The 24,992-nt window shown below is 42.2% G+C and overlaps 1 protein-coding gene and 1 pseudogene across 4 annotated transcripts in view, besides 2 other annotated features; both read left to right on the forward strand.

Annotated features, from left to right (window-relative positions):
• SHISA9 (shisa family member 9) overlaps positions 1-24,992 on the forward strand; it is a 661,420-nt gene that overhangs the window by 547,106 nt on the left and 89,322 nt on the right. The window contains exon 5 of one of the 4 annotated variants that reach the window (XM_047434582.1): positions 2,259-4,249. The exons of the other annotated variants lie outside the window; for them this stretch is intronic. Within the exon in view, the coding sequence (XP_047290538.1) occupies positions 2,259-2,408 (150 nt within the window). The 3' untranslated portion in view covers positions 2,409-4,249. Of the gene's footprint in view, positions 1-2,258; positions 4,250-24,992 lie in introns of those variants that run through there. 4 annotated transcript variants of the gene reach the window in all.
• Positions 3,926-5,125: an enhancer, noted in NCBI's record as "BRD4-independent group 4 enhancer chr16:13546486-13547685 (GRCh37/hg19 assembly coordinates)". NCBI's record gives its function as "activates an origin of replication core promoter dependent on BRD2, P300/CBP, MED14 and CDK7 cofactors, and independent of BRD4, by STARR-seq in HCT116 cells {active_cell/tissue: HCT116}" and the evidence as "EXISTENCE:reporter gene assay evidence [ECO:0000049][PMID:35650434]".
• Positions 9,623-10,130, forward strand: TMF1P1 (TATA element modulatory factor 1 pseudogene 1; annotated as a pseudogene).
• Positions 10,816-11,317: an enhancer, noted in NCBI's record as "NANOG hESC enhancer chr16:13553376-13553877 (GRCh37/hg19 assembly coordinates)". NCBI's record gives its function as "activates a minimal SCP1, AML or CMV promoter by ChIP-STARR-seq in primed H9 embryonic stem cells {active_cell/tissue: H9 hESC(primed)}" and the evidence as "EXISTENCE:reporter gene assay evidence [ECO:0000049][PMID:30033119]".

Below are 24,992 nucleotides of genomic sequence, written 5' to 3' on the forward strand. Positions count from 1 at the left end.
GGAAAATAAGCCAGTATTATTCTTCAGAGTGAATACCAAACAGAACGTTTAGTTCAAGAGCTTTTCTAAACTTTCCTGGATAGTCTCAAATGTCAAATAAAAATTAGCACTCAATGCCAGTAAGTGTGTGGCTCCGTGGGTGCCCTTTGTGTATCCAGGTGATAAGAGTGTAAATCTATATATTTTGGAAAGCTGTTTGGCAATGGGTTTCAAGCATTTGAAGAATATGTAATTTTTTAGCCCAGTACTGTCACCCGTATTCTATTAAAATGGTCTGAAATTCAGACAGAGCTTTATGAAAAAGGTGGTCATTACTGTGAAACCTTGGAAACAAACTAAAATAGCCAACATTTAGGGAACCAGTAAGTCCTTTTAGCTGAATTCCTCAATGAAATATTTCAAGCCATGTGAAATGAAGTTTACAAAGAATTTGTCCTGGGAAAAATGCTAATGTCCTAATGATTCCCTTAAAAAATAGAGTATAAAATTAAATATACAATATAGTCTCAAGTTAAAATTTTAAAATGTACAACAAAGACAGCAAGAAATAGACCAAAATGTTCAAGGAATAGACCAAAATGTTCAGGCCATAAGATTATGAGTGATTTAACTTATTCTCTTCTATCTTTTTGTCATTGTCTAAATTTTCTATGACACTCACTTATTCTTTCTATACATTAGAAAAGTGTTACTTTAAAAATCTAATATTTGGGGATAAAAGTCAGAAGAGTAACTTCCTGGGGGTAAGGGGAAGCTATTGATTGGAAAGGAGCATGAGGGAACTTCCTGGAGTGATGGGAATACTCTATATCTTGATTTGAGTGGTGGCTAGATGGTTGTATACAGAGAGAATCCACTGGATTGTACCATCAATGTGTGTGTACTGCATTGTAGGTAAATTTTTCTTCAATTTTTAAAATACAGCATATTTGCCCTTCCATTCCTTTCATTATGTAAAGCCCCCACTTGCCTTTCTTCCATGATATTCACGGCAAACCCCATTTCCATATGGCTCCCATCACTCCTTTTAAAAGTTGCTTCTACCCATATGTCCCACCTTCACCATTATATTGTAGACATCTTCTGGGGAGAACCTCATTGTCTCTTTTCTACAAAGCTCTCCAAAGACAGGTCTGGGCGCTGTGGCTCATGCCTGTAATCCCAGCACTTTGTGAGGCTGAGGTGGGTGGATCACAAGGTCAGGAGATTGAGACCATCCTGGCTAACATGGTGAAACCCTGTCTCTACTAAAAATACAAAAAAAATAGCAGTGTGTGGTGGCACACACCTGTAGTCCCAGCTACTCGGGAGGCTGAGGCAGAAGAATCGCTTGAACCTGGGAGGTGGAGGTTGCAGTGAGCCAAGATCGCACCCCTGCACTCCAACCTGAGTGATAGAGGGAGACTCTGTGTAAAAAAAAATACACACAAAGCTCGCCAAAGGCAATTCCTACTTTTAGTCCATGTTCTACTACTTACTTGCTGAATGACCTCAGGTAATTAACTTTTCCTTTAGTTTTTTGCATCTTAAAACTTGAGGGTAGGGTTAAGAACACCTACCTCGTAGGGTTATATTGTGAAGATTGGGAATTACATATATAAAGTACTTCCCAACAAGGTCTAAGGCATGGTGAGCATCTGATAAGTCGAAGTGAATATTACTCTTAGCCAAACTGGTCTCCCATCTCCCACTGATCTATGCTAATCCCACTAATTCTTCAAAGCATAAGTAACTCCTCTAGAAGCCATTCATGGCCACTTCAACTTTCATGGGTCTCCTCATTTTTGTAGCCTAATTTAGCCCTTCATCACCCACTGCTGTGTAGAACTTGCTGCTATTTCATGGCAAATAAAAATGATATTTATTGATCACCTGCTATATGCAGACACAATTATAAACGATACACACTGTCTCCAACCATTTTACAACAGTCCTATGAAGTGGAATTATTATCTCCAATTTTACAAGACAGAAAACTGCAGACTCAGAGAAGGTCATGGAATTTGTCTAAGGTCACACAGCTGAATTTGAAGCCAGCTCTGTCTGAGCTCAAAATCTGTGTTGTTGTTTTGTTGTTGTTGTTGTTGTTGTTGTTTTCTTCTTTAACATGTGCTAGCGATCTGCCCTATTAGGCTTGAAAATTTCTTGAGGATCCGATATGGCGGCAGGAGGCATAGGAATCATGCATTCATTCATTTAACAAATACCCACGGAGAACTGTGACCGATGCTATCAGTGTCCCCTCTTTTTCCTCTTAGATCTTGGTACACATAACCCAGCTCCCAGTGGTATCATCCACAACTGTTCACCTAAAGACTTTCTCCGGCCACCAGAGCCTGCTCTGCCCCTGGACATGCCAGAGTGAACGTGATGGAGAATGCCTGCTTCCCGGGAACAGCCCTCAGTGATGGATGGGAATTTGTGTATAGCTGCCCCAGCCCTATCACTTCTCAGTGGTGGTACGTCTGAGGTGCGTGTTCCATGCTGGCTCTTGGAGTTCCCCGGGAGGATTATTCTCCAGCTGCCCCGTGGTAACTCACTGGATAACACACCCTTTATGGTCTGCCTTTCCTCACTGTCCTGCCTTCACCTCCCAAATCAACCACTTGCACTTGAATCCCTGACTCAGCGTCTGCTTTGGGAAGAAACCAAGCACAGATAAGCACACACATCTATCAGGTACCTATCTATGCAACCTGCTCCCTATTGGGAGAGACTAAGTCATAAATAAGCCAACAGCAAATAAAGACAATTATAGATCCTCAAATTCACCAGGAAAGATCCAAGATGCTGTGATAGAGAATAAGGTGGAGGGATTACTTTTAGATATAATGGGCAGACCTGGTGATCATGAAAAGTGGCCTTCAAACTGAAGATCGGAGGACCTGAAGAGCAAGGAGCCAACCACATAAAGGGCAAGAGAGAGAGAATTCTAGCAAGAGGAATCATGGAGGACAAAGATCCCCTAGTTGGGAAAATGCTTTGCACATTTATGCTCTCAAAGGAGGACAGCATAATGATAACAGAGTAACTGAGGAATGTAGAGACATAGGCATGTGACAGATCCTTGAGGACTGTGGACATGTCAAGAAGTTTGGAATCCTGGCAAGTCGCCGATGTGATTTAAAGGAGGTCTTTGCCCTGTGCATAACTTTGAGCCATGCATGGAAGTTACTGCTTTCATTCTTCTCAGGGCTTCGGATTCAAATTCATTCACCTGGCTTCAAGGAGAAGGGGAAGGGAGAAGGGGTACAGAGAGACTGCTTTTGCAAAGAAGTATGTCAGGAGATGCTGAAGGGACCCTTTGTTTCATCAAGTTAGTTTTCCCTTTGATTCCCCAATACCTCTAATTCTGCATGTCACCAGGAAATAGGTGTGCTGCAGCTCGGTGACAGCCTTCTCCAGTGTCTATGGCAACCTGGGGCTGGGGCCATTTTTCCTTCAATGAATGGGCTGGCTTCCCGAAGACAAGTAAAGCCCAATTGTTATTCTCAACTGTTACAGAGGGAGGGTGCACAGGGGTAATAAAGAAACAACTGAATACTGCTAATGATATTGCATAAAATAACATGAATTAAGTAAATCATTTCTCTCCAGCTTAATTATAGATGCTTCAGGGTGAAAATGCAAGAAAGAGCCTCAAACTGAGGCTTTGCTTCTTATTCCAGCCATTATTTCCAGTGTTCTTTTTTTGTTGCCACGGTCCATATACCTTATTGTCTGACAACTCTGAAAAGAGCTGGCTTCCAGGTTTGTGAATTACAACCACTTGGCTGTGTTCCTGAGAGAAACAACAGAGCTAAACAAAGGTGGGTAGGTGGAAGATGGAGCATTATTTGACAACAAAAGTCTCCCAACTTACAGATCGGATGGGTGTTAGTCTCTGCATCCTCTTCCTACTACTTTGGGCAAGGGTTATCTTTCCAAAGAAAAGCTGATCACATCATTCAATAGCATAATAATCTTCAGTGGCTTCTGGTAGACTGCAAGATAAAAACCTAAGCTATTTGGCTCAACCTCTTCAACCTCAGCTCTCATGTTGCCTCTTTGTACTTACTCCACTGAGCTATTACTAGGTCTTCCAATACACCAAGCTGTCTGGGGCCTCTGATCTTCTGCTTGAGCTGGTTTGCCCTCTTCCCTCTTAAAGAATATACTCTCATCTTCTAAAGGTTGGCTCAAGAATCCCTCACATTGTATAGCTTTTCTTTTCTTTTCTTTTTAAGACAGAGTCTCACTCTGTCACCCAGGCTGGAGTGCAGTGGCGCAATCTCAGCTCACTGCAACCTCCACCTCCTTGTTTCAAGCGATTCTCCTACCTCAGCCTCCCGAGTAGCTGGAACAATACGCACGTGCCACCATACCTGGCTAATTTTTGTATTTTGTATGTTTGTCAGGCTGGTCTCGAACTCCTGACCTTGTGATCTGCCTGCCTCAGCCTCCCAAAGTGCTGGGATTACAGGTGTGAGCCACCGCGCCCAGCCTTGTATAGCTTTTCTAGCATCCCCAGGGAAAACCGTTTGTTTTTGCCCTTGCAATATGGGGATATGTGTCCCAGGCTCCTTATTGCAAACTTTGGGATCGAGATACATTGATTGCATTCATGACCCCAATTAATGGCCTACCTTTATCCACACCTTTTGCCTGTAATTCTGTAACTCCCTGGCTTGGAAATGTGAGCTATTTTGTAAGATAAGACAATCACAAACTTCATACAAAAGCTTGCAAACCTGTGTGAGTTTTTTCTTGCCTTCTCAATGCAACTGGCTTTGCTCACTCTTGAATCCCTGCCATGGTCATGAGAACAAGCCTGGGCTAGCCTACTGGAGGATGACAGACACATGGAACAAAGCCAAATTGCCCCAGACCAGGCCATCCTAGACCAGCCAGCCCCCAGACAACCCTCCAGCTGCCTGAAGATGCAGGAACGAGCCCACCCGAATTGGCAGAACTATCCTGATAGTCCATAGACTAGTAAAACATAATAAATGGTTGTTGTTTTAAGCCACTACATTTTAAACTACTTTGTTTTATGCCCATTGTTAAATGATATAGGGGACCACATAGGAGAAGGCTTAGGTCTGGTTGGTTGTTGTCTGATAGCTGCATGGAAGACTGCAGCTCACCTCACTCCCAATCAAGAGTAAGAGATGAGAAAAAGAGGGATCCACTGTCTTTAGAACATGAATTCTTTCCAGTACAGAGGCTTGTCCGATCTATGTTATAATACCCTCATCTCATACATCAAATGTTATAATACCGTCATCTCATACATCAAATAATACCCTCATCTCATATGTCATTTAAAGAACTCCTCCTTCTTCGAAGAGTACCAGTGAGAGGTAAGGAGAAGGCAGACATATCTACTTGATCCTTTCTAGAGGACAGAAATTTCTCTTTTATGGGCTAGCTGTAAGGAGATGAGAGGGAAAGGGCTCCCCCTGCAGGACAAATTTAACCAACCGTGCACAATTATAAAAGGTTGACCTTTTGAGAATCATTGTATACCTTGTTTTCCTATAACGTGGGTTTGTTTCGGAACATGAAGGAGATACTATGTCAATGTAAATTATTAAGGAAAAAATGGAGATGAGGATATAGGCAGAAGGAAGAAGAGCTAAAAGATGCAGGCAGAGTAGGAGAAGCACTTTACGAAAGGTGTTTGCCTTCACTGACACCTCTCCACTTCTCACTCTGACTCACACGCATGGATCCTCTTGTCAACGTATTAAATATCGTAATAGAAAGTGCTTGATGAGTGCTTGCTACATGCCAGGAATTGTGCAAATTCACCTATCTCTCACAATAATTCTATAGGTTGGTACCATTGTCGTCATCTTTGTTTTACAGATGAGGGAGGAAGACTCAGGAAGAAATATGCCCGAAGTCACACAGATAGTGACAAAATGGCGATTCAAATATAGGCAGACTTGCTCTAACACCTGTGCTTCACCTGGCCTCTACAAAAGAAGCCAGACTGTCCCCCGAAGCCCATTATGTGGTGTTAGGCTTTGGACGTGGATCAATAGAAATGGACAGAAGGAAGGAGAATCATCTTTTCTATATTCCATCTTAGACTTTCTCCAAAATTGGAGATACCAGACCTGTGCTACTCTGTCCCTGCTTACTATTTACTTCTATTCATGTGGCTTCCTTCATTACAAACTCATTAGCGGAGGGAAGGGCAGTCTCATGGCCAGACCATGTGAAGACTTGCCTGAGTGTTCACCCCACTCTATTTAGTGGAATGCTATCTGTGTCCTTGGCCAATCTCACTATTGCAATCACAAAAGCATAATCAGCTACCTTCTTTTTTTTTTATCATATCCCCTAAGTCATTTTCTAATTCTACTATTTTAGTTTATTCAATTTCTACACCAGAGTATGCCCAAATATATATAACCACATAATTATACCTTTATACACTATGTATCCAAAATTCATTTTATATACATACCTTAGTATTTTTCCTTCTCCAGAATGAGATTTCCCTTCTATGCCCTATTTCACATCATCCCCTGCCTCAGCCTCTGTCTGAAGTTATTTCCCAGTAAATGAAGCAGCCTTCCTCTCCATTGTCCCAAGTCATTCTCTGCCAATTCCACCATCCCATAGGATATGTCTCTTATTTCTTCCACAGAAAGCAAAGTCAAAGTCCATTTTGTCCTCCACTCCCAATTATATTGGCTTCAAGTGCACCTTCAATGTTTTGCATTCACCAGGGATTTATGTAGAAACCAGTAAAAAGGAGTCCAAAGAAAAAAAGTGACACAAATGTTCACATGGTGGATGAGAGAAGAGAGTAAAAGTGCTCATTGTCATTGCTGACAGCCTGTGTTTAGGAAGCATTTGCCTGGCCCCGGCTGAATCCTAATATGCATGTGGAAATTGATAATTATGTTCATTCAACCCTTTACAAAGTGCCTTCATGTGTTAAGATGCAAAAACATGAAGCTAAGTGCCCAATTCTTTATTAATTCGGTGTGGAGTTTTGCAGTTAACGGTGCCAGGTTTGCATCTGCAATTACCCCTCAGCTTTTTAGTGGATCTAAAAGGGCAAGTGAACCACCCTAACCGCAGCCTCCCTCCCCCAGTACAATGCATCATTCTCCTGTTTGAAGAAATGAAGGGAAGTTGATATGGAGCTAGCCACTCTGTTGATGACTGTGAGTTTTTCTCTAAGATTTAGCTGGAGAAACCTAAGCCCCGTAAGTAGAAAGTTTAGAGATATTTCTTGTGGCCTGGAATTGGAATCAGACTCACTTAATGAGGAGATAAAACGTGGCTACCTTGGGCTAAGGACTCTCAGGACCTGGCAGGTGTCTTGAGAAAGACAAACAAATGCTGTTCTCCATTGTCCTAGGAGAGACATACACTAAACAAAATCATTTTAGATGTAAGGACTGCTAAGAAGAAAATCAAATGGAATTGAAATCTGGCTAGTGACTCCTCTTTGCCAATTTCTTGTGAATCTGAATGACTTCGTCACTATGTCCGGGACACATGACGGGACTTTCTCATCTCATCCTTCTAAAATGAAAACTGGAAGCCGTTAGACTGTGCACTTCAACCTGTTTCCCACTCGAATGCTAGCCTCTCTAGCTAGCTAGACCACCTCTCCAACTCCCACCTGCTGTATTTCCCCATTATTGCTGACACCTGAGTCAGCTTAATAATCATGTTTTTTCCTCCACCATTTATTTTCCTTACGATACCTAGTACAATATTTTGGACAGAGAAATGAATGAATGAATCGTTCACTGGGGCAATTCTGGGATGCCGATGTCCATTCTTTAATGCCACTGCGTCATGAAGAATTAATCATATCCAAAGTGAGGTCCAGTCTTTGCCCTTGGCTACTGGGATGTAATTTCCAAACTCCTGGAATGTCATGCCTGATAGAGTGTCTTTGTTTGCCTGAGGGTCTTGGCCACTGGACAGTTTAACAGTGTGATTTATGATGGAGGCTTTAGGCCATACGTTATCAGTTCTACCTCCAGAAAAGCTGAAGACTAATGATCAGCGCCATGTTGTCAACTCTAACTCTGAAGAAGCTGCCATTCAGGCAATGTGTGATCAAGCCCCAGTAAAAACTCAGGACACCAAGTCCCAGGTAATTGTCCAAAGCTGGGGATACTCCATGCTTATCATCACATGTTGATGCCAGGAAAGTAACACCATCCATGACTCCATGGGGAAAGGATAACACAAAACTTCAGGTTTGGAACTTTTCCGGGACTCTGCCCACAGGCCTATTCCCTTGGCTAATGTTAATCTGTATTCTTTCTCTGTAATAAACTGTAACTGTAACAGCTTTTGGTGGCCAGGCACAGTGGCTCACGCCCATAATCCCAGCACTTTGGGAGGCCAAGGCGGGCGGATCACCTGAAGTCAGGAGTTTGAGACCAGCCTGACCAATGTGGAGAAACCCTGTCTCTACTAAAAATACAAAATTAGCCAGGTGTGGTGGCACATGCCTGTAAACTCAGCTACTCAGGAGGCTGAGGCAGGAAAGTCGTTTGAACCCGGGAGGCAGAGGTTGCAGTGAGCCAAGATCGCACCATTGCACTCCAGCCTGGGCAACAAGAGTGAAACTCTATCAAAAACAAACAAACAAACAGCTTTTGGTGAGTTCTGTGAGTCCTAGGTAATTATCAAAACTCAGGGTGCTTTTGCTCCCCTCTCTTGAACTTCCAGTTCAGAAGTGAGAGTAGTCTTGCCTGGACTGTGTTCCCTCTAACTGTACAGTCATCAGACTCTCACAGCCACATGTCTGCCCCATAGCACCACCTATATAGGAAAATCCCACACACACTTGCAGCTCACAGCCTAAGTTTTGAATGACTCCCTTTAGGCTGATTCTTTATGCAGACGCCAGCTTTGTGTAGCCTTTGACCATTCCACCTTCTGCTTGTTCTCTGTTGTTCTTTCTGTATTACCTAGAGCCATTTTACCATCCGTAAGATTAATCCCACTTGCATTGAGTTTCTTTGCACTGGCTACTCAGCCACCAACAAACACAGTCCCCAGAACTTTCTGTTGCCACCCTTTATGCTTAGGAGTGTCCTCAAACAGGAACTGAAGGCTCAGGTAATTTACGTGAGAAACAAGAAGAAAATTAAATGAATAATCACATATGAGAAATAGTAAATATGGCTAGGACCTCTCTAGGCAAGACCTTAAAAATAATTCTTCCAAAGTAAAATATTTTTCCTTCCTTCCTCCCTTCCTTCCTTCCTTGCTTCCTTCCTTCCTTCCTTTCTTCCTCCCTTCCTTCCTTCCTTTCTTCCTTCCTTCTTCAATTATCTCAATGACAATGTCTGACATGGACTAGAAACTCTGTAAATATTTGCAGTATTGTTCAATGAGTGGATGAACCTATATTGAGCACCTACCATATTGTATACACCATGCTAGGCATTTGGGAAACAGTGAAGGATAACATAGACATTCCAAGTGCGATGTACCAGTCAACCTATCAAACCAAGCAGTATCTGGAGGAAACACAAAGGAGAATAAGAATAACCTCTTATGGACACTGACTGTCATGGGTCACCTTCCTCTTTCAACAAATGTGGCTCTCAGGGGATCATGGGAGATCATAAAAATTATTGAGACTCCACAGGATGAGTCTCGTGATCACTGATTTGGACCAGTGTCTGTATCAGCAAATGGAAGCAAACTTTATGATGCTGTAACGATGGGAGCAGGGTCAAGCATTACTGAAAACCTTCAGTCTCAGATAAAGCGGAGGGAAGGGGAAATTACTCATTTACAGCTAGAAATTGGTAATCTAGAAAAAACTCGATCAACAATGGCTGAAGAACTAGTAAAATTAACAAATCAAAATGATGAACTTGAACAGAAGGTGAAAGAGATACCCAGACTTAGAATCCAGCTAAGAGATTTGGATCAAAGATACAACACTATTATGCAGATGTATGGAGAAAAAGCAGAAGAGGCAGAATAACCTTGATTAGATCTTGAGGATGTAAAAAAAAAATTTATAAAACTCAAATAGATGAACATTTAAGACAGAGGCTCAGTTAACTTGTGAAAATTGAATTCTCGTCAAACTGAATGTAAACATTTAATATCTGAATATTTATTGTGGACTTCCAATAAATTCTCGGGTTTTTTTGTTTTGTTTTGTTTTGTTTTTTGTTTTTTGTTTTTTTTTTAAGACGGAGTTTCGCTCTTGTTTCCCAGGCTGGAGTGCAATGGCGTGATCTCGGCTCACTGCAACCTGCGCTTCTCAGGTTCCAGAGATTCTCCTGCCTCGGCCTCCCAAGGCATGCACCACCACGCCTGGCTAATTTTTGTAATTTTAGCAGAGATGGGGTTTCTCCATGTTGGGTCAAGCTGGTCTCGAACTGCTGACCTCAGGTGAGCCACCCACCTCGGCCTCCCAGAGTGCTGGGATTACAGATGTGAGCCACTGTGCCAGGCCAAATGCTTCTATAGAATGAGAAAAAAATTATTGAAACTCCAAATGAAGATTCCTAGATATTTGTAGGATGTGCCCGTACCTTACAAGTCACGTGCAGCCCTGGTGTAGCCTTGACTTAGTGACAGAGGATTTTGACAAAAACTTTATAAAGCAAACATTCACTCTTCCTCTGGTGACATGGGGGGAGGAGGGTGGTATAGAGATCTCTCAATACCACCTTCCTCCCCTCAAGTCATCATGCACAGGACAAGGGTAGAAGGATACAAAGGGAGTGGTATCAGTAGAAGCAAGATACAGTACTGAATAACTTTTATCTTTTGCCTGGAATGTTCTAGCCTATTTATTTTTAATGCTCTTATTTTTCAGGGGGACCTTATCACCTTTGTTATTCCAAATCAGCCTTAGTCAAATTATTGGGCACTCTAGGACCCACCTCAAAAACAGATATCACTGAAGATTTTTTATCAGATGGGTAAAGTATGCATATCACAGAGAGGGAACTGTGCATTTCTGTTCACCTTTTCCAGCCTGGCTCTTGCTAACAGGAGGCTGTAATTGACCCTGTATATCATGCCTGGAGACCTTAATGGAAGTGTTGTAACACAATTAACTTAGAAGCAAAGGACAAAAGGAAAGGCATCATGCCGTTATCTGGCCATTAGAAGCTACTCTGCCTTGAGATAAGGGGTATGGGAAAAGAAACAAGTGTGTATGAGTCCTGAGATATTTTTATAGTCAGCATCAAGCTTTATATGATTATGAATATTTTTTTAACAGGGACACTCACACTGTCGCCTAGGCTAGAGTGCAGTGGCATGATCTCTGCTCACTACAAACTCTGCCTCCCAGGCTCAAGTGATCCTCCCACCTGAGCCTCCCAAAGTGCTGGGATTACAGACACGAGCCACCACACGCAGCCTATATGGTTATTAGTATTATCCCTAAACATATCCATTTGCATATTCAATGGACAGTGATTGAGTGTCTACTGCATACCCATCAATCCTGGATTCATGGCAAATACCAGAAGAACAAATATCATCCCTGTCCTCTGGGAGATGGGGGTCTATATGATATACAAACAGAACACACACATGCAACCTCAAAATGAGGCTGCTCCATGAACACCTCATGGAGAAGAATGGTATCATCAGGGTCACATCATAATGATATCAAGACTCATTATATATCAGTCATTTACTGTGTGCTGGAAACTTTATGCTCATTTCTCTAATCCTCACAACAAGCCCCCCCGATCCATCATATTAGCTCCACTTTACAGAGGAGGAACCCCAAGATCAGAAGTTATGTGAGTTGACAAATGTCCCACAGTTGGTAAATGCCAGAATCAGGCCTGGCACTCAAGAATGTGTAATTCCTCCAAAGCCCATGAGTTTTCTAGTAGTTTGTGTTTTTAGGGACAACCACAGTGCCTGTCACATATGGATGGATAGGTTCGAGTAGAACTTGTTTGATGCTTAAAAGGATATGATAGAGCTTATCAGTTGGATATCTTAGAACAAGGGTGCTCATGAGGATCCATGGGTCTAACTCTAAAGCAGCCCAAGGTTAGTGAGATTCATATTATGGGCAGAATCTGCCTTCCTTCTCTCTGGTGTGACTTGTCCTAGGTCGACTACAGCTGGTCTGGATTTGTAATGATGCAGAATACTACGGTTAGGTCTTGTGGCAAATCCTGCCCCACATTCAGAGAAACTGGACTTGCCTTCCAGAGTCATCACCTTCTGCCAACCAGCCGCTCAGTATGGCATGAGCACACCCATCCTTGTCCTTCATCGCTCCTTGTTAAAACCACTTTCAGCTTTCTACTTGTGTCTTTTGCTGTCTCAGGCAGTAATCCATTTCTCAACATGTCATTTATCCAATAGACAACATATCAACGAGACAGTTTTGATTTGCTCAAACATCTTTGGCAAATGAAGGTGGCACCCTTGCAGAGATGGCAATAATATTAATAGAAACTCAAGCCTGCAGTTCTGACAGCTCTCCCAACCTGTGCACACTTGCCTCTCTTGGGCAACTCTTAGTGTCCTCAAAGACTGGCTGAGGCACTGTCCTGGTGGCTGAACCCAAGACACCTAGCCCTTCAGGTTTAGTGGTTCTCTAAAGAGTTATAGACTTACAGCCAAGCGCAGTGGCTAACACCTGTAATCCCAGCACTTTGGGAGGCCAAGGCGGGTGGATCACCTGAGCTCAGGAGTTCCAGACCAGCCTGATCAACATGATGAAACTCTGTCTCTGCTAAAAATACAAAATTAGCCGGACGTGGTGGCACAAGCCTGTAAACCCAGCTACTCGTGAGGCTGAGGCTGGGGAATCGCCTGACCCCTGGAGGCAGAAGTTGTAGCGAGCCGAGACTGTGCCATTGCACTCCAGCCTGGGCAACAAGAGCAAAACTCCCTCTCAAAAAAAAAAAAGATTTATAGACTTTCTTTTTTTTTTTTTTTAATTTTTTTTTTTTTTTTGAGACCCTCTGTCACCCAGGCTAGAGTGCAGTGGCATGATCTCGGCTCACTGCAAGCTCCGCCTCCCAGGTTCACGCCATTCTCCTGCCTCAGCCTCTCGAGTAGCTGGGACCACAGGCGCCCGCCACCACGCCCAGCTAATTTTTTGTATTTTTAGTAGAGACGGGGTTTCACCGTGTTAGCCAGGATGGTCTCGATCTCCTGACCTCGTGATCCGCCCACCTCGGCCTCCCAAAGTGCTGGGATTACAGGCGTGAGCCACCGTGCCCGGCCTAGACTTACTTTCTTAAGGAAGTATTCACCCAGGAAGTATTCACCCATTCAATAAAGAAGAATTGTTGCATACCTAGTATTTTCCAGTCTTATTAATCTATTCATGTAGCACTTTGGGAGGCTGAGGCAGGAGGATCACTTGAGGACAGGAGTTCAAGACCAGGCTGAGCAACATAGTGAGACCCACATCTCTGCTTAAAGAAAAAAAAATAGCTGGGTATGGTGGCATCCACCTGTAGTCCCAGCTACTCAAGAGCCTGAGGTGGGAGGATTATTCGAGCCCAGGAGTTCAAGATGAGCCTGGGCAACATGGTGAGACCCCTACCTCTACCAAAAAAAAAAATTCTTTAAAAATAAATAAATAGAGTCAAACCACTTATTTAATCTCATTCAGGTTGGAGAAGGAAGAAAAAGTAATTCAGACAAAAGAAACAGCATGTATAAAGGTAAAAAAAGTTCAGGAAACTAACAGATCACTCAATACAGAGGCCTGAAGAAAACAGGTGTGAGAGATGAGGGTGAAGGATTAGGTGAGGCCTAGATTTCAGAGGATATTATGTCTCGTTAATGAGCTTAATTTCATTCTATTGTTCTGGGACCATCTAAGGTACAGGCAAAACTGCAATGTAGGCTGGGTGCTGTGGCTCACACCTGTAATCCCAGCACTTTGGGAGGCAGAGGCAGGCAGATGGCTTTGAGGTCACGAGTTCGAAACCAGCCTGGCCAACATGGTAAAACCCTGTCTGTACTAAAAATATAAAAAAGTTGGGCAGGCACAGTGGCTCACACGTGTAATCGTAGCAGTTTAGGAGGCCGAGGCGGGGGGATCACCTGAAGTCAGAAGTTCGAGACCAGCCTGGCCAACATGGTGAAACCGCGTCTCTACTAAAAACACAAAAATTAGCCAGGCGTGGTGGCGGGCGCCAGTAATCCTAGCTACTCAGGAGGCCGAGGCAGGAGAATCACTTGAACCCGGGAGGCAGAGGTTGCAGGGAGCCGAGATCGCACCATTGCACTCCAGCCTGAGCGACAGAGGGAGACTCCATCTTAAAAAATAAATAAATAAATAAATAAAAAATAAAAATACAAAAAAGTTAGCTGGGTGTGGTGGCACATGCCTGTGGTCCCAGCTACCAGGGAGGCTGAGGTGGGAGGATCACTTGAGCCTGGGGGGGGAAGGTTGCAGTGAGCTGTGATAGTGCCATTGCACTCTGTTTTGTCTGGGTGACAGAGTGAGACCCTGTCTCAAAAAACAAACAAAAAACCCTGCAGTGTAGAAAGTTCACTATAGCTTTCATGTGAAGGATAGATTGGGAAGAAAGAGCATGGCATGACCCGTGAGGAAGCTATTGCAATAGTTCAATCCTGAGGAAAGTGAGGATGGGAACTAAGTAGCAGGTGTGGAGAGAGAGAGGACCATGTGGGCAGGAGAGGCAGCGTGCAGGTGGAATCAGCAGTACTTGGAGAAAGAGTTCTTGAAAGTTGTGGAACACAGAGAGGAGTCTGGAAAGATTCCTGGGACTGTTGTGGCTGGAGGGCTTCACCTACTCTGAAGAGTTGCTCGGGAGCTCTGTTGCCTTCTCAGTTGCAGAAATGAAGGAATTAAACGTCACCTATTGAGAGTGATAATCTTGATCTTGGCTTGGTGCTTCTGGTAGCCAAGGTCTAAAAGAAGGAAAAAATAGCATTTGTAAGTCATGAATAGGTACAAACCAGGAAGCTCTGTTGCCTTAAAGAAAGAGCTTCCTTAGCAGATTCTTTATTTCATCATTTCCAGTTTGGCAGCGCCCTCATGGTTGTGGCTGGGACAGGACTGCTGGCTGCTCAGGAAATATCGAGCAAATGGGCTAATCAGCAGGCAAAGAATTGATTCCCGTGTCACATCCCTTCCCCTTAGGCCACAAGTCTACAAAATTGCCAAGTGGCAGAGGCTTCTGAATCCCTGCCGTTGGCTCCCTGGAATTGCAGAAGCTTGTTAATATTGACTTTCATCTAATTGCTTCACTATTTAGTTGGCAGGATTGTTCTTTAAAAATTTTTTCCTAGTTACGTTATGCCCAAAGGCAATGCTAATTAACAGAAAGATCCAGGTTCTCTCAGACTCAAACTGCATCCTCTTTTCTCCTCATTCCACTACTTGTCTGTCATGAGAATTACACAGAAGTTTCATCTCTTAAGCTTTCCATGCCTCAGTTACCTTATCTTTAAAATGGGCATAATTAGATTAACTCTGTGACTTTCTTTATAGAGTAATTGTGAGGATTGGAGGAAGCTTTCCAGGTAAGTGTGCTACCTAGCACTTAGGGTTTAATTAAGGGTAGCTCTAAAGAATAATCACCTCATCTGCAGGGAGATGTTGCCAAGGCCTCCCTGACCTGTTGGAGGAGTTTGAGAATCACACTTGGTCGATGCCACCATTCTTTCACTGGCCTGTCTTACCATGGGTTTCTCATGGATGGCTGCTAAGCTTTGTGCAAAATCAGTCCAAAACTTACAATCCTGAAGCCCCAAAACTGGTGCTATTTCCTCCAACTCTGGTTCTCCCTATCAGCCTAAGTGCTCAGATGCTTTGAATGTGTATTTTGATTTTGCAACTTGAGTCTGAACTAGAGTTTCTTGTCTAAAGCTAAAGCCCCTTTCTTGGAATTTCATGTCAATTTTGTTTTGGTTCAAGCTGAAATTGCCTCCCTCTTTCCCAAAACCACTGATTTGCTTTCCCTGATTAGAGCAACCGGAAATTTTCCCGTTTACTACCACTACTACCTTTACTACAAATATACAGTAAAGTAAATAAAAATGGTGGCTGAAGTTGAGTGCTTACTAAGTACTGGGCGCTATCCTGAGGAATTCACATAGTTAGTAGCCCTTGGTCCTCATAAAATTCCCGAGATATGTTCTATTTCTATGCCCACCCCCACCCCCCACCTTTTACAGTTCAGAAAAATAAAGACATGAGTAATTCATTAAATCCTACATCTAGATAGACTTCCATAAACCCTCAAACAGATAGACAGCTTTTTCTAATGTTGATATTTAGGGGCCTAGTGGATTAAAGATTTTCTTAGGAAGGATAATGGAGACATTATCCTAAAACATACCTTTTACCAAAGAAAAGGCTACTATTTGCCATTAACCTTGTAGCAGGGCTTCTATACCTCAGTCTTATTAACATTTTGGAAGAAATAATGATCTATTCTGGGGGTAGGGGGCTGGGTAGGTGGAGGAAGGAGCATTGCATTACTCCTGTGATTTGCAGAGCATTTAGCAACATCCTCAGCCTCTACTTGTTAGATGCCAGCAGCCCTCTGCCCAAACTCTGGCAACCAAAAATGCCTCCAGGCATTGCCAGATGTGTTTTGGGGACACAGTCACCCCAGTTGAGGACTGCTGCTTTGAAGCACAGAATAATGCTAGAAATCATCCCTCAAATGAAGTTGAACGTGGGGCAGGTTCATTTTGGCAGAACTGGAGGTCAAAGGAAAAGTCCAATAAGATTTCGTCCACGAGGCTAGGATTTCTAGTAGGTTGTGGGGCATGGATTTGAAAAGATATCACCTTAAGCCAGGTTGACTGGGGAGAAACAATACCCATAAGGGCATGAGAATCACAGGATTTGGCATAAGGAGAAGTTGAACTGCAATATAGAACAAAGATATCAAATGGTACCTGTTGTCTTGCTACCTCAGGAAGGAGAAGGGGAAGGATGCTAGGGAGAAAAGTCAACAAATCTCCACAGAGCCTCAGAAAGCTGAGTCATTTATCTCAAGGTGATACACCTTTGAAGGCAGATCCAGGTTCAAGCCCCAATCTGTCTGACTCCATGGACCTGTCTCTCTCCCCCCTCTACCTCTCCAGAAAGAAAAAGCTGCTGCAACGATTTAGTGTAGAGGCTGGCCAACTATGGCCAATGGGTCAAATGTGGCCCACTGCCTGTTTTGACAAGTAGTTTCATTATAACACAGGCAAATCCATTTAGGTACATATTACTTATGACTGCCTTCCTGCTATAGCCACAGAGTTGGCTAGTAGTAACAGAGACTGCATGGCCTGAAAGGCCCACATGATTTGCAATCTGCCCCTTTACGGAAAAAGTTTGTGTGATGGCTAATTTTTTTGGCATCAGCTTGAGTGGATTGGGGGATGTGCACCATTAACCATTACCCCTAGTGACCCACTAGCAAAATTTGTACTTCCTGTTCCCACAATGTTATGTTCTGCTGGCCTAGAGGTCTTAGTTCCAGAAGGAGAAATGCTTCTACTAGGAAACACTACAATGATCCCATTGAACTGGGAGTTAAGACTGCCACGCGGCCACTTGGGGCTTCTATGCTTCTGAGTCAACAGGCTAAGAAGAGAGTGATGGTGCTGGCTGGGATGATTGATCTGGACAATCAAGGGGAAATTAAATACTGCTCCGCAATGGCAGTAAGGAAGAGTGTGTCTGGAATACAGGAGATCCGTTAGGGCATCCCTTAAAATTACCATGCCCTGTGATTAGGGTCAGTGAAAAACTACAACATCTCAATCCAGGTAGGACTACAAATGGCCCACACTCTTTAGGAATGAAGGTTTGGGTCATCCCACCAAGTAACAAGCCATGACCAACTGAGTTGCTTATTGAGGGCAAAGGAAATACAGAATGGGTAGTTGTTGTTGTTGTTGTTGTTTTTTTAAAAAAAGTAATTATAAATGTCAGCTACAGCCACATGACCAGTTTCAAAAATGAAGATTGTAACTGTAATGAGTATTTCCACCTATTTTGTTAAAAATACATTTGTGCATATATCACATATGTTAAGCAAATATCTTTATTTTCTTTCTTCTTTTATTCCTTTATCATGTAACATAATGTTGATTAACTTTGTATCAGCATTTAAGCATTGTTAATTTTACATTATAGCATTTAGGTTTACTGACTTTGTATCAGCACTTAAGCATTGTTAATTTTACATCATGGTACTTAAGTTATAGGATATCAGGAGAAATGTAAATGTCACTCAAGAACTTTACCTCCTCTTCTGGGAATGGGATTAGTGCAGTTTTGGTTGTACTCAGGATAGTTGTATCATCTTAAGTGGAATTATGACCTTGTTATGATCTTTATTTGGAAATTAAGTATGGCTTAAAGAGATGCATATGGCTGCCACGTTGACAAGGGGTGGGCTTATGCTGATTAATGTTTTATGTGTTGACTTGACTGGATTGAAGAGTGCCTAGATGGATGGTGAAGCATTGTTTCTGGGTGTGTCTGTGAGTGTGTTGTCAGAAGAGACTGACCTGTGAATCAGTGCACTGAGAGAGGAAGACTCGCCTTCTATGTGGGGGGGTAGCATCCAATCTCCTGGGGGCCCAGTTGGGACAACATGGCAGAAGAAGGAGGATTCTCTCTTTCTTTCTCTCTTTTTCCCACTCCCCCAGAGCAGAACACTTTTCTCCTCCTACCTTAGACATCAGACTCTAGGTTCTTCAGCTTTTGAATTCTGAGCCTGGCACTAGCCACCTCCTGGGAGTTCTAGGGCATTTAGACTCAGACTGGGGACTGTACCATTGGCTTTCCTGGTTTTGAGGCTTCAGGGCTTGGACTGAGCCACACTATCAGCTTCTCTGCTTCTCCAACTTGTACGTGGCCTATCATGTGATTTCTTCAACTCCATGATCCCGTGATCCACTTCCCCTAATAAATCCCCTCTCATATATCTGATTGTTTCCATCTCTCGGAAGAACCCTGACACTCACAATTTGCCCATCCATGATTTAGAGAATGGATCTCTAATGATATTCTCCAGAATTGCCTGTTGGATGGAGCCAAGGGGCAGCAAGATGTTGAGCTTGCCTCATTTCCCTCCTTCGTCCACTCCCATGTAGGATCTTGGGCCACCAGCCATATTTCTTGCTTTCTTTTCTATTCACCTAACACCAGGTTCATTTGTCTCCCCTAGAAGAAGCCTGTGGTTAAAAAGTGGAAACACTTCAGGAAGGAATACTTGCAAAACAAATTTCATGTGTGAGTGCTCCTGAAATTTACCCATTGTACATGTCGCTATCCTTCATGGTGTTTTATCTCCTTTCAAAAGAACTGAAAAACTTAACAGCAATGGATATTACAACAAAACTCATCTCAGTCTTACCATTAGACTGAGAGGGTTTTATTCTTCCTGTTCTTCTGTCAGATTTTAAATGGATATAGTTTTATTCCCTTTCTCATCTAATATTGGAACCTATCAATCTGCAGCAAGATCTCATTTTAAAAGATGTTCTTATATTTCAAGAGGCCTTTTAAAGGGGGAAAAATAGATCCACTCCACAGAAAGCTTGTTGCTGGAAACCAAATATATTTATCTCCATTGATTCAACAACTATTGACTGAGTTCTGGACCCGGATTATTGGTGCCCAGGGAGAGGGGCAGGGAGATGAGGTTCAGAGAGGAGACCTGACTTACTCAGAGTCATACAGCCAAGAGTGAGTCAGGGTGCCTATGCTTTTTCTTCCTTCTCATATGTTTATATCCAATAACCACAGATATAAATGTGATGCACAGACTTATCCATCCATTTACCCAAGCATCCATCTGCCTCCAACTTTTTAAATATAATACTTCCATACTTTCATTTCTTCCTCTAATTCTATCCTATGTTTCTCTTTTATTGGCTTTTACCATTTTATCCTAAATATCTTGCTCTACTCAGAAGTAATAGGAGGTCCATTCCTGCACCAAGTAATAAGAGAACTCTAGGAGGTGAATCTGTAGACTGGTCCTCAAAGAAATCTTACCAGAAAGAAGCGTCCAGGTGTATGACTCACATCTGCAATCCCAGCACTTTGGGAGGCTGAGATGGGAGGATTGCTTGAGATCAGGAGTTTGAGACCAGCCTGAGAAACATAGTGAGACCCTGTCTGTCTCTATGAAGAAAAATAAAATATATATGTATTCTTTTTTGTTTTATATATGTATGTGCATTATATATTGCTTTTTATATATGTGTATATAAAACACATATATAAAATATATGTGTTGTTATATATATAAAACAACAACAACAAAAAAGAGGCTGGGCACTGTGGCTCACACTTGTAATCCCAGCACTTTGGGAGGCTGAGGCAGGTGGATCATTTGAGGTCAGGAGTTTAAGAGCAGCCTGGCCACATGGTGAAACCCCATCTCTACTAAAAATATAAAAATTAGCCAGGCGTGATGGTGGGTGTCTGTAATCCCAGCTATTCAGGAGGCTGAGGCAGGAGAACAGCTTGAAACCTGGAGGTGGAGGTTGCAGTGAGCTGAGATCATGCCACTGCACTCCAACCTGGGCAACAGAGCAAGACTCTGCCAAGAAAAAAAAAGAGAAGAAAGTAAGGTAATTTAAGGTAAGAGAGAGAGAGAGAAAGAAAGACAGAGAGAGAGAGAGAGAGAGAAAGAAAGAAAGAAAGAAAGAAAGAAAGAAAGAAAGAAAAGAAAAAGAAAGAAAGAAAGAAAGAAAGAAAGAAAGAAAGAAAGAAAGAAAGAAAGAAAGAAAAAGAAAGAAAGAGAAAGAAAGAGAAAGAACTGGAATTCTGCAAATACATAAAGATATGTGGGGTGGGCACAACCTGGCCTTTGAGCCTCGACCTGTGCAGATTTCCTATCATCTCATCTTCTTCTATCCTATAAAATCCAGTTCTGTGCTCATCCAAATGACTCTGGCTCTTGTTCTCAAACCTTCTCCCACCCATGCTTCTTTGCCCCTTGGAGACAGAGGCAGTCACTCATTCCCTCACATCCCACCTGTGCATCCAGAACATCTTCCTCCTCAGGGTAATCACAGGGTAAGATTAATTATGCTAATCAGCCTCTACAGGCTGACACAATTAACCAGAGTATGAGATAACTTCAGAAATCTATATAGGAGGTATCTACCTGCTGGGTTGAATTTCACCATTAAGCACAGTAATTAAGGGGAGGGGTGGGTGGGAAGTTTGCTCTTTTCAACTAAAGAGTACATGGTACCATTCTCCAATAGAAGCTGTATGAAGTTTTCCAGGAAGTGTTTGGCCACTTATTGTCATCTCTTGGGATCTGCTATTGAACATCTCCTTCTTGGGGCTAGGCACCAATATTGTAGCCAGTTCTCTCTTCGTGATGGAATCAAATGAGGTGTTTGTATTTTGATGCATTTTTAAATCCTTTTCTTTCCCCTATTTACTCTTCTACACCTTTAAAGTTTTTAATATTTTTATTTATTCAAAAATAAGAAAAGTTGCCTCTCAGAATAGGAGATTTGAAAAGAAAATAAGAGAAGTTATAAAAGCTTTAGATTAGACATCCCTCACATGTGTGTTATGAAGTGTTAATTCTGAAAGTTGCTTTGGGGAATAAAAGTTTGCAATCCAAGGTAGAGAAACTCTAATTTCGGTATTCTTCTTTTGAATTTAATATCTATAGAATTTAATGTATGAGGAGTGTATTAGTCTGTTCTCTTGCTGCTAATGAAGACATACCCGAGACTGGGTAGTTTATGAAGGAAAGAGGTTTAATGGGCTCACAGTTCCACATGGCTGGAAAGGCCTCAGAATCATGGTGGAAGGCAAAGGAGAAGCAAAGGCACATCTTACATGGCAGCAGGCAAGAGAGCTTGTGCAGAGGAACTGCCCTTCATAAAACCAACAGATCTCATGAGACTTATTCACTACCACGAGAAGAAAATGAGGGAAACTGCTGCCGTGATTCAATTATCTCCATATGGCCCCATCCTTGGCACATGGGGATTGTTACAATTCAAGGTGATATTTGAGATGGGACACAGCCAAACCATATCAAAGAATCATACATTAAAGGCTCTGAAAATTCTGTAACAAAGAAAACATATTAACCAAACACAGTTAATCCAATATTTTCCACATTTATTTTACTACACATTGAACTGTGTTAAAGTCCTTGTCTCAGAGTCTCATTTCAGGGGCAAAAAAACACCGTAAATCTTAGTTTTCTTGCCCCCAAAATGAGACCTGAAGACAAGGACTTTAGCACAGTTAGTTTGCTGAGAGAAGATTTCAAGAAACAGAAGTGAGGAAGTGGGAAAAATGAGGCAGGATAGGAGGAAAGACAATCAAAGTGTATTAATGAAATAGTTACTGCTGTGGACAACTGGGGTTCAGTCTTGCTGGAACCCTAAAGATCCATCTAGAATGCATCACAGAATTGTCCTTCTGGAGGATAGAAAGGCTGAGGCATTTATCCACGGACTCACATATCTTATTGTTTGTTTTTCTGTGTATGTCTGAGTTGATCAGCTGATGGAGAGAAAACACAACACACCCTTAATATGGGGCTGACAGTGCAGCATGGAACTGTCCGCCACAGCAGTCCTGAAATATGGAGGACTGAAGGGCTGTGTTGTGGTCATCACAAGTTCTTGCTACATTGTATAACATTTTTTAAATGTTTTAAAATGCTAATTTATTAACATCCAAGCAAACTTGCAGTCTATGTCCATCATTTAGGAAACACCACTCTGTTTTAAATTATTCGAGTTTTTCTAGATCCGACTCTCTCCTTTTTCCTCATGGGAATATAAGCACTGACAAATGCTAGTCAGTAGATTAAGAGGAGATGAGTGTGTGTTCCTTCCAAGCTGAAGTGGAAAAAGTCTCTGCACAACTCTCCCTCTTTGCTTCCCCTGCAGTGACAACCTTGGAATGCATCAATTGAGGTGGCCACAGGAAGAAAGTAGATCAGATCCCTGAGCAAACATGAAAGAGAATGCCCCAGGGAGCTACCTGACCTGCAGTGGACTTTGAGCAAGAAATCAGCTTTTATGTGTCAATCCACCAGAATTTAGGGCTTTCTCTTAATTGCAGCAAAGCCTAGCCCACCGTGAGTAACACAGCAGCCTTAGAGAACACAGCCACAGATAAGCAAAAGTCACTGTAATCTAAGATATTCCTTACACAGAATATCAGATACAGGTCAGCTAGTGTTATAGCAAGAAAAACAAGGAGAGGACAAAGAAAGACTGACCATTGCCTGTTCTTCTTAGTGTAACTCACAGAGAATCACAAAGACAAGGGAGGAAAGGGTCAGTGAGTGACCCAAGCTCTACATGGAAGTGTCTTGTTTCTGGAGAATGAGATGGTCTAGAGGAGCGTGTTCCATTTTATGGGAGCAGATATGAGTAAACTCTTCTTGAAAAGGAGAGCTTAGTGCTGTGTTTTCATTCCCTGTTCTGACTCTTTAAGTGGGCTCATTGATCTGGAAAACATATACTTGCTGGCCCACAGATGTGAATAATTGAAGCAATGTCACCCACCCTTGCTTATTCTAATTTGCTTTCACTACAATTTCCTATCTAAACTAGCTCTGAAATTTTGGCTCTGGCAACTCTTGTTCAAATATTTTTCTCCTCTGTCCCCTCATTTGGGGAATCCAATTAAGCATATATTTGCCTGTTTGAATTCATCCCTTCATTTAGAGCTTATTAACGCTCTGCTAAATTTTTTTTTTTTTTTTTTTTTTTTTTTTTTTTGAGACGGAGTCTTGCCCTGTCGCCCAGGCTGGAGTGCCGTGGAACAATCTCGGCTCACTCCAAGCTCCGCCTCCCAGGTTCATGCCATTGTCCTGCCTCAGCCTTCCCAGCAGCTGGGACTACAGGCACCCGCCACCAAGCCCGGTTAATTTTTTTGTATTTTTAGTAGAGATGGGGTTTCACCATGTTAGCCAGGAAGATCTTGATCTCCTGACCTCGTGATCCGCCCACCTCGGCCTCCCAAAGTGCTGGGATTACAGGCGTGAGCCACAATGCCCGGCCTCTGCTAAAATTTTTAAATGATCTTTTCTCTTTTAATTTCATTTTTGATAGTTTCTCTTGCTATGTCTTCAAGTCTTTTCTTCTGTCATGTTTAATCTCCCATTAATTCCATCTACTGTTTTTAAAATCTCTTACATTGTAGTTTTCATCTTAAGAATGTCCATGTCTTTTTACTATTTCCCACGTATTTATTCAAAGTTTTGATATCTTGAATACAGTTATAATAACGATTTTAATGTCCTTGCATGTTAATTCTAACATCTAGGCCAGTGCTGGATCAGTTTTGATTATTTAATTATTCTCCTCACTATGGGTCATATTTTTCTGCTTCTTTATATGCCTGTTAATTTTTGATTAGATGCCAGTCATTGTAAATTATGCCTTGTTGGATTCTGACTAACTTTCTGTCTCTGTAAGTATTCTTGAGTTTTGTTATGGGGCACAGTTAAATTACTTGGAAAAGTTTTATTCTATCAGATTTTGCTTTTAATATTTGTTAGGCAGGACTAGAACAGTGCTCAGTCTTGGGCTGATTTGGGCTATTTTCCATTACCAAGGCAAGATACTTCTCTTTAAAGTAATTACTTCACATGTCTGATAAGGTTTATTTTCTTTGTTCTTTTTGTTCCTTTTACTTTTTCTTTTCTTTCTTTCTTTCTTTTTTTTTTTTTTTTTTTTTTGAGGGGGTATGTTTCAGGTGAGAAAGTAAACCTAGTCCCTGTTAATCCATGTTGACTGGAAGCAGAACTGTGACTGATTTTAATTCTTATCAAAGTTCCCTTTGGAATTTGTGATTAAACATGCCTTCTTGGATTTGGCCCACTGAGTTGAATAATTGATTTTTCCTTTTTCTGACCTTTCCCAGAGTCCCTGAAATACCCACCCTTCCTCAGTTTCTTCTGTCACACCAACACTCTTCATTAAGCTGTCAACTGTCTAATGCAGTCTTTCTCCAGAAGATACTGCCAATTGCCTACCTAACAGTTATCCCTCCCACTTGTTTG

Source organism: Homo sapiens, chromosome 16, assembly GCF_000001405.40.
Source record: "Homo sapiens chromosome 16, GRCh38.p14 Primary Assembly".
Classification (NCBI taxonomy): Eukaryota; Metazoa; Chordata; class Mammalia; order Primates; family Hominidae; genus Homo; species Homo sapiens.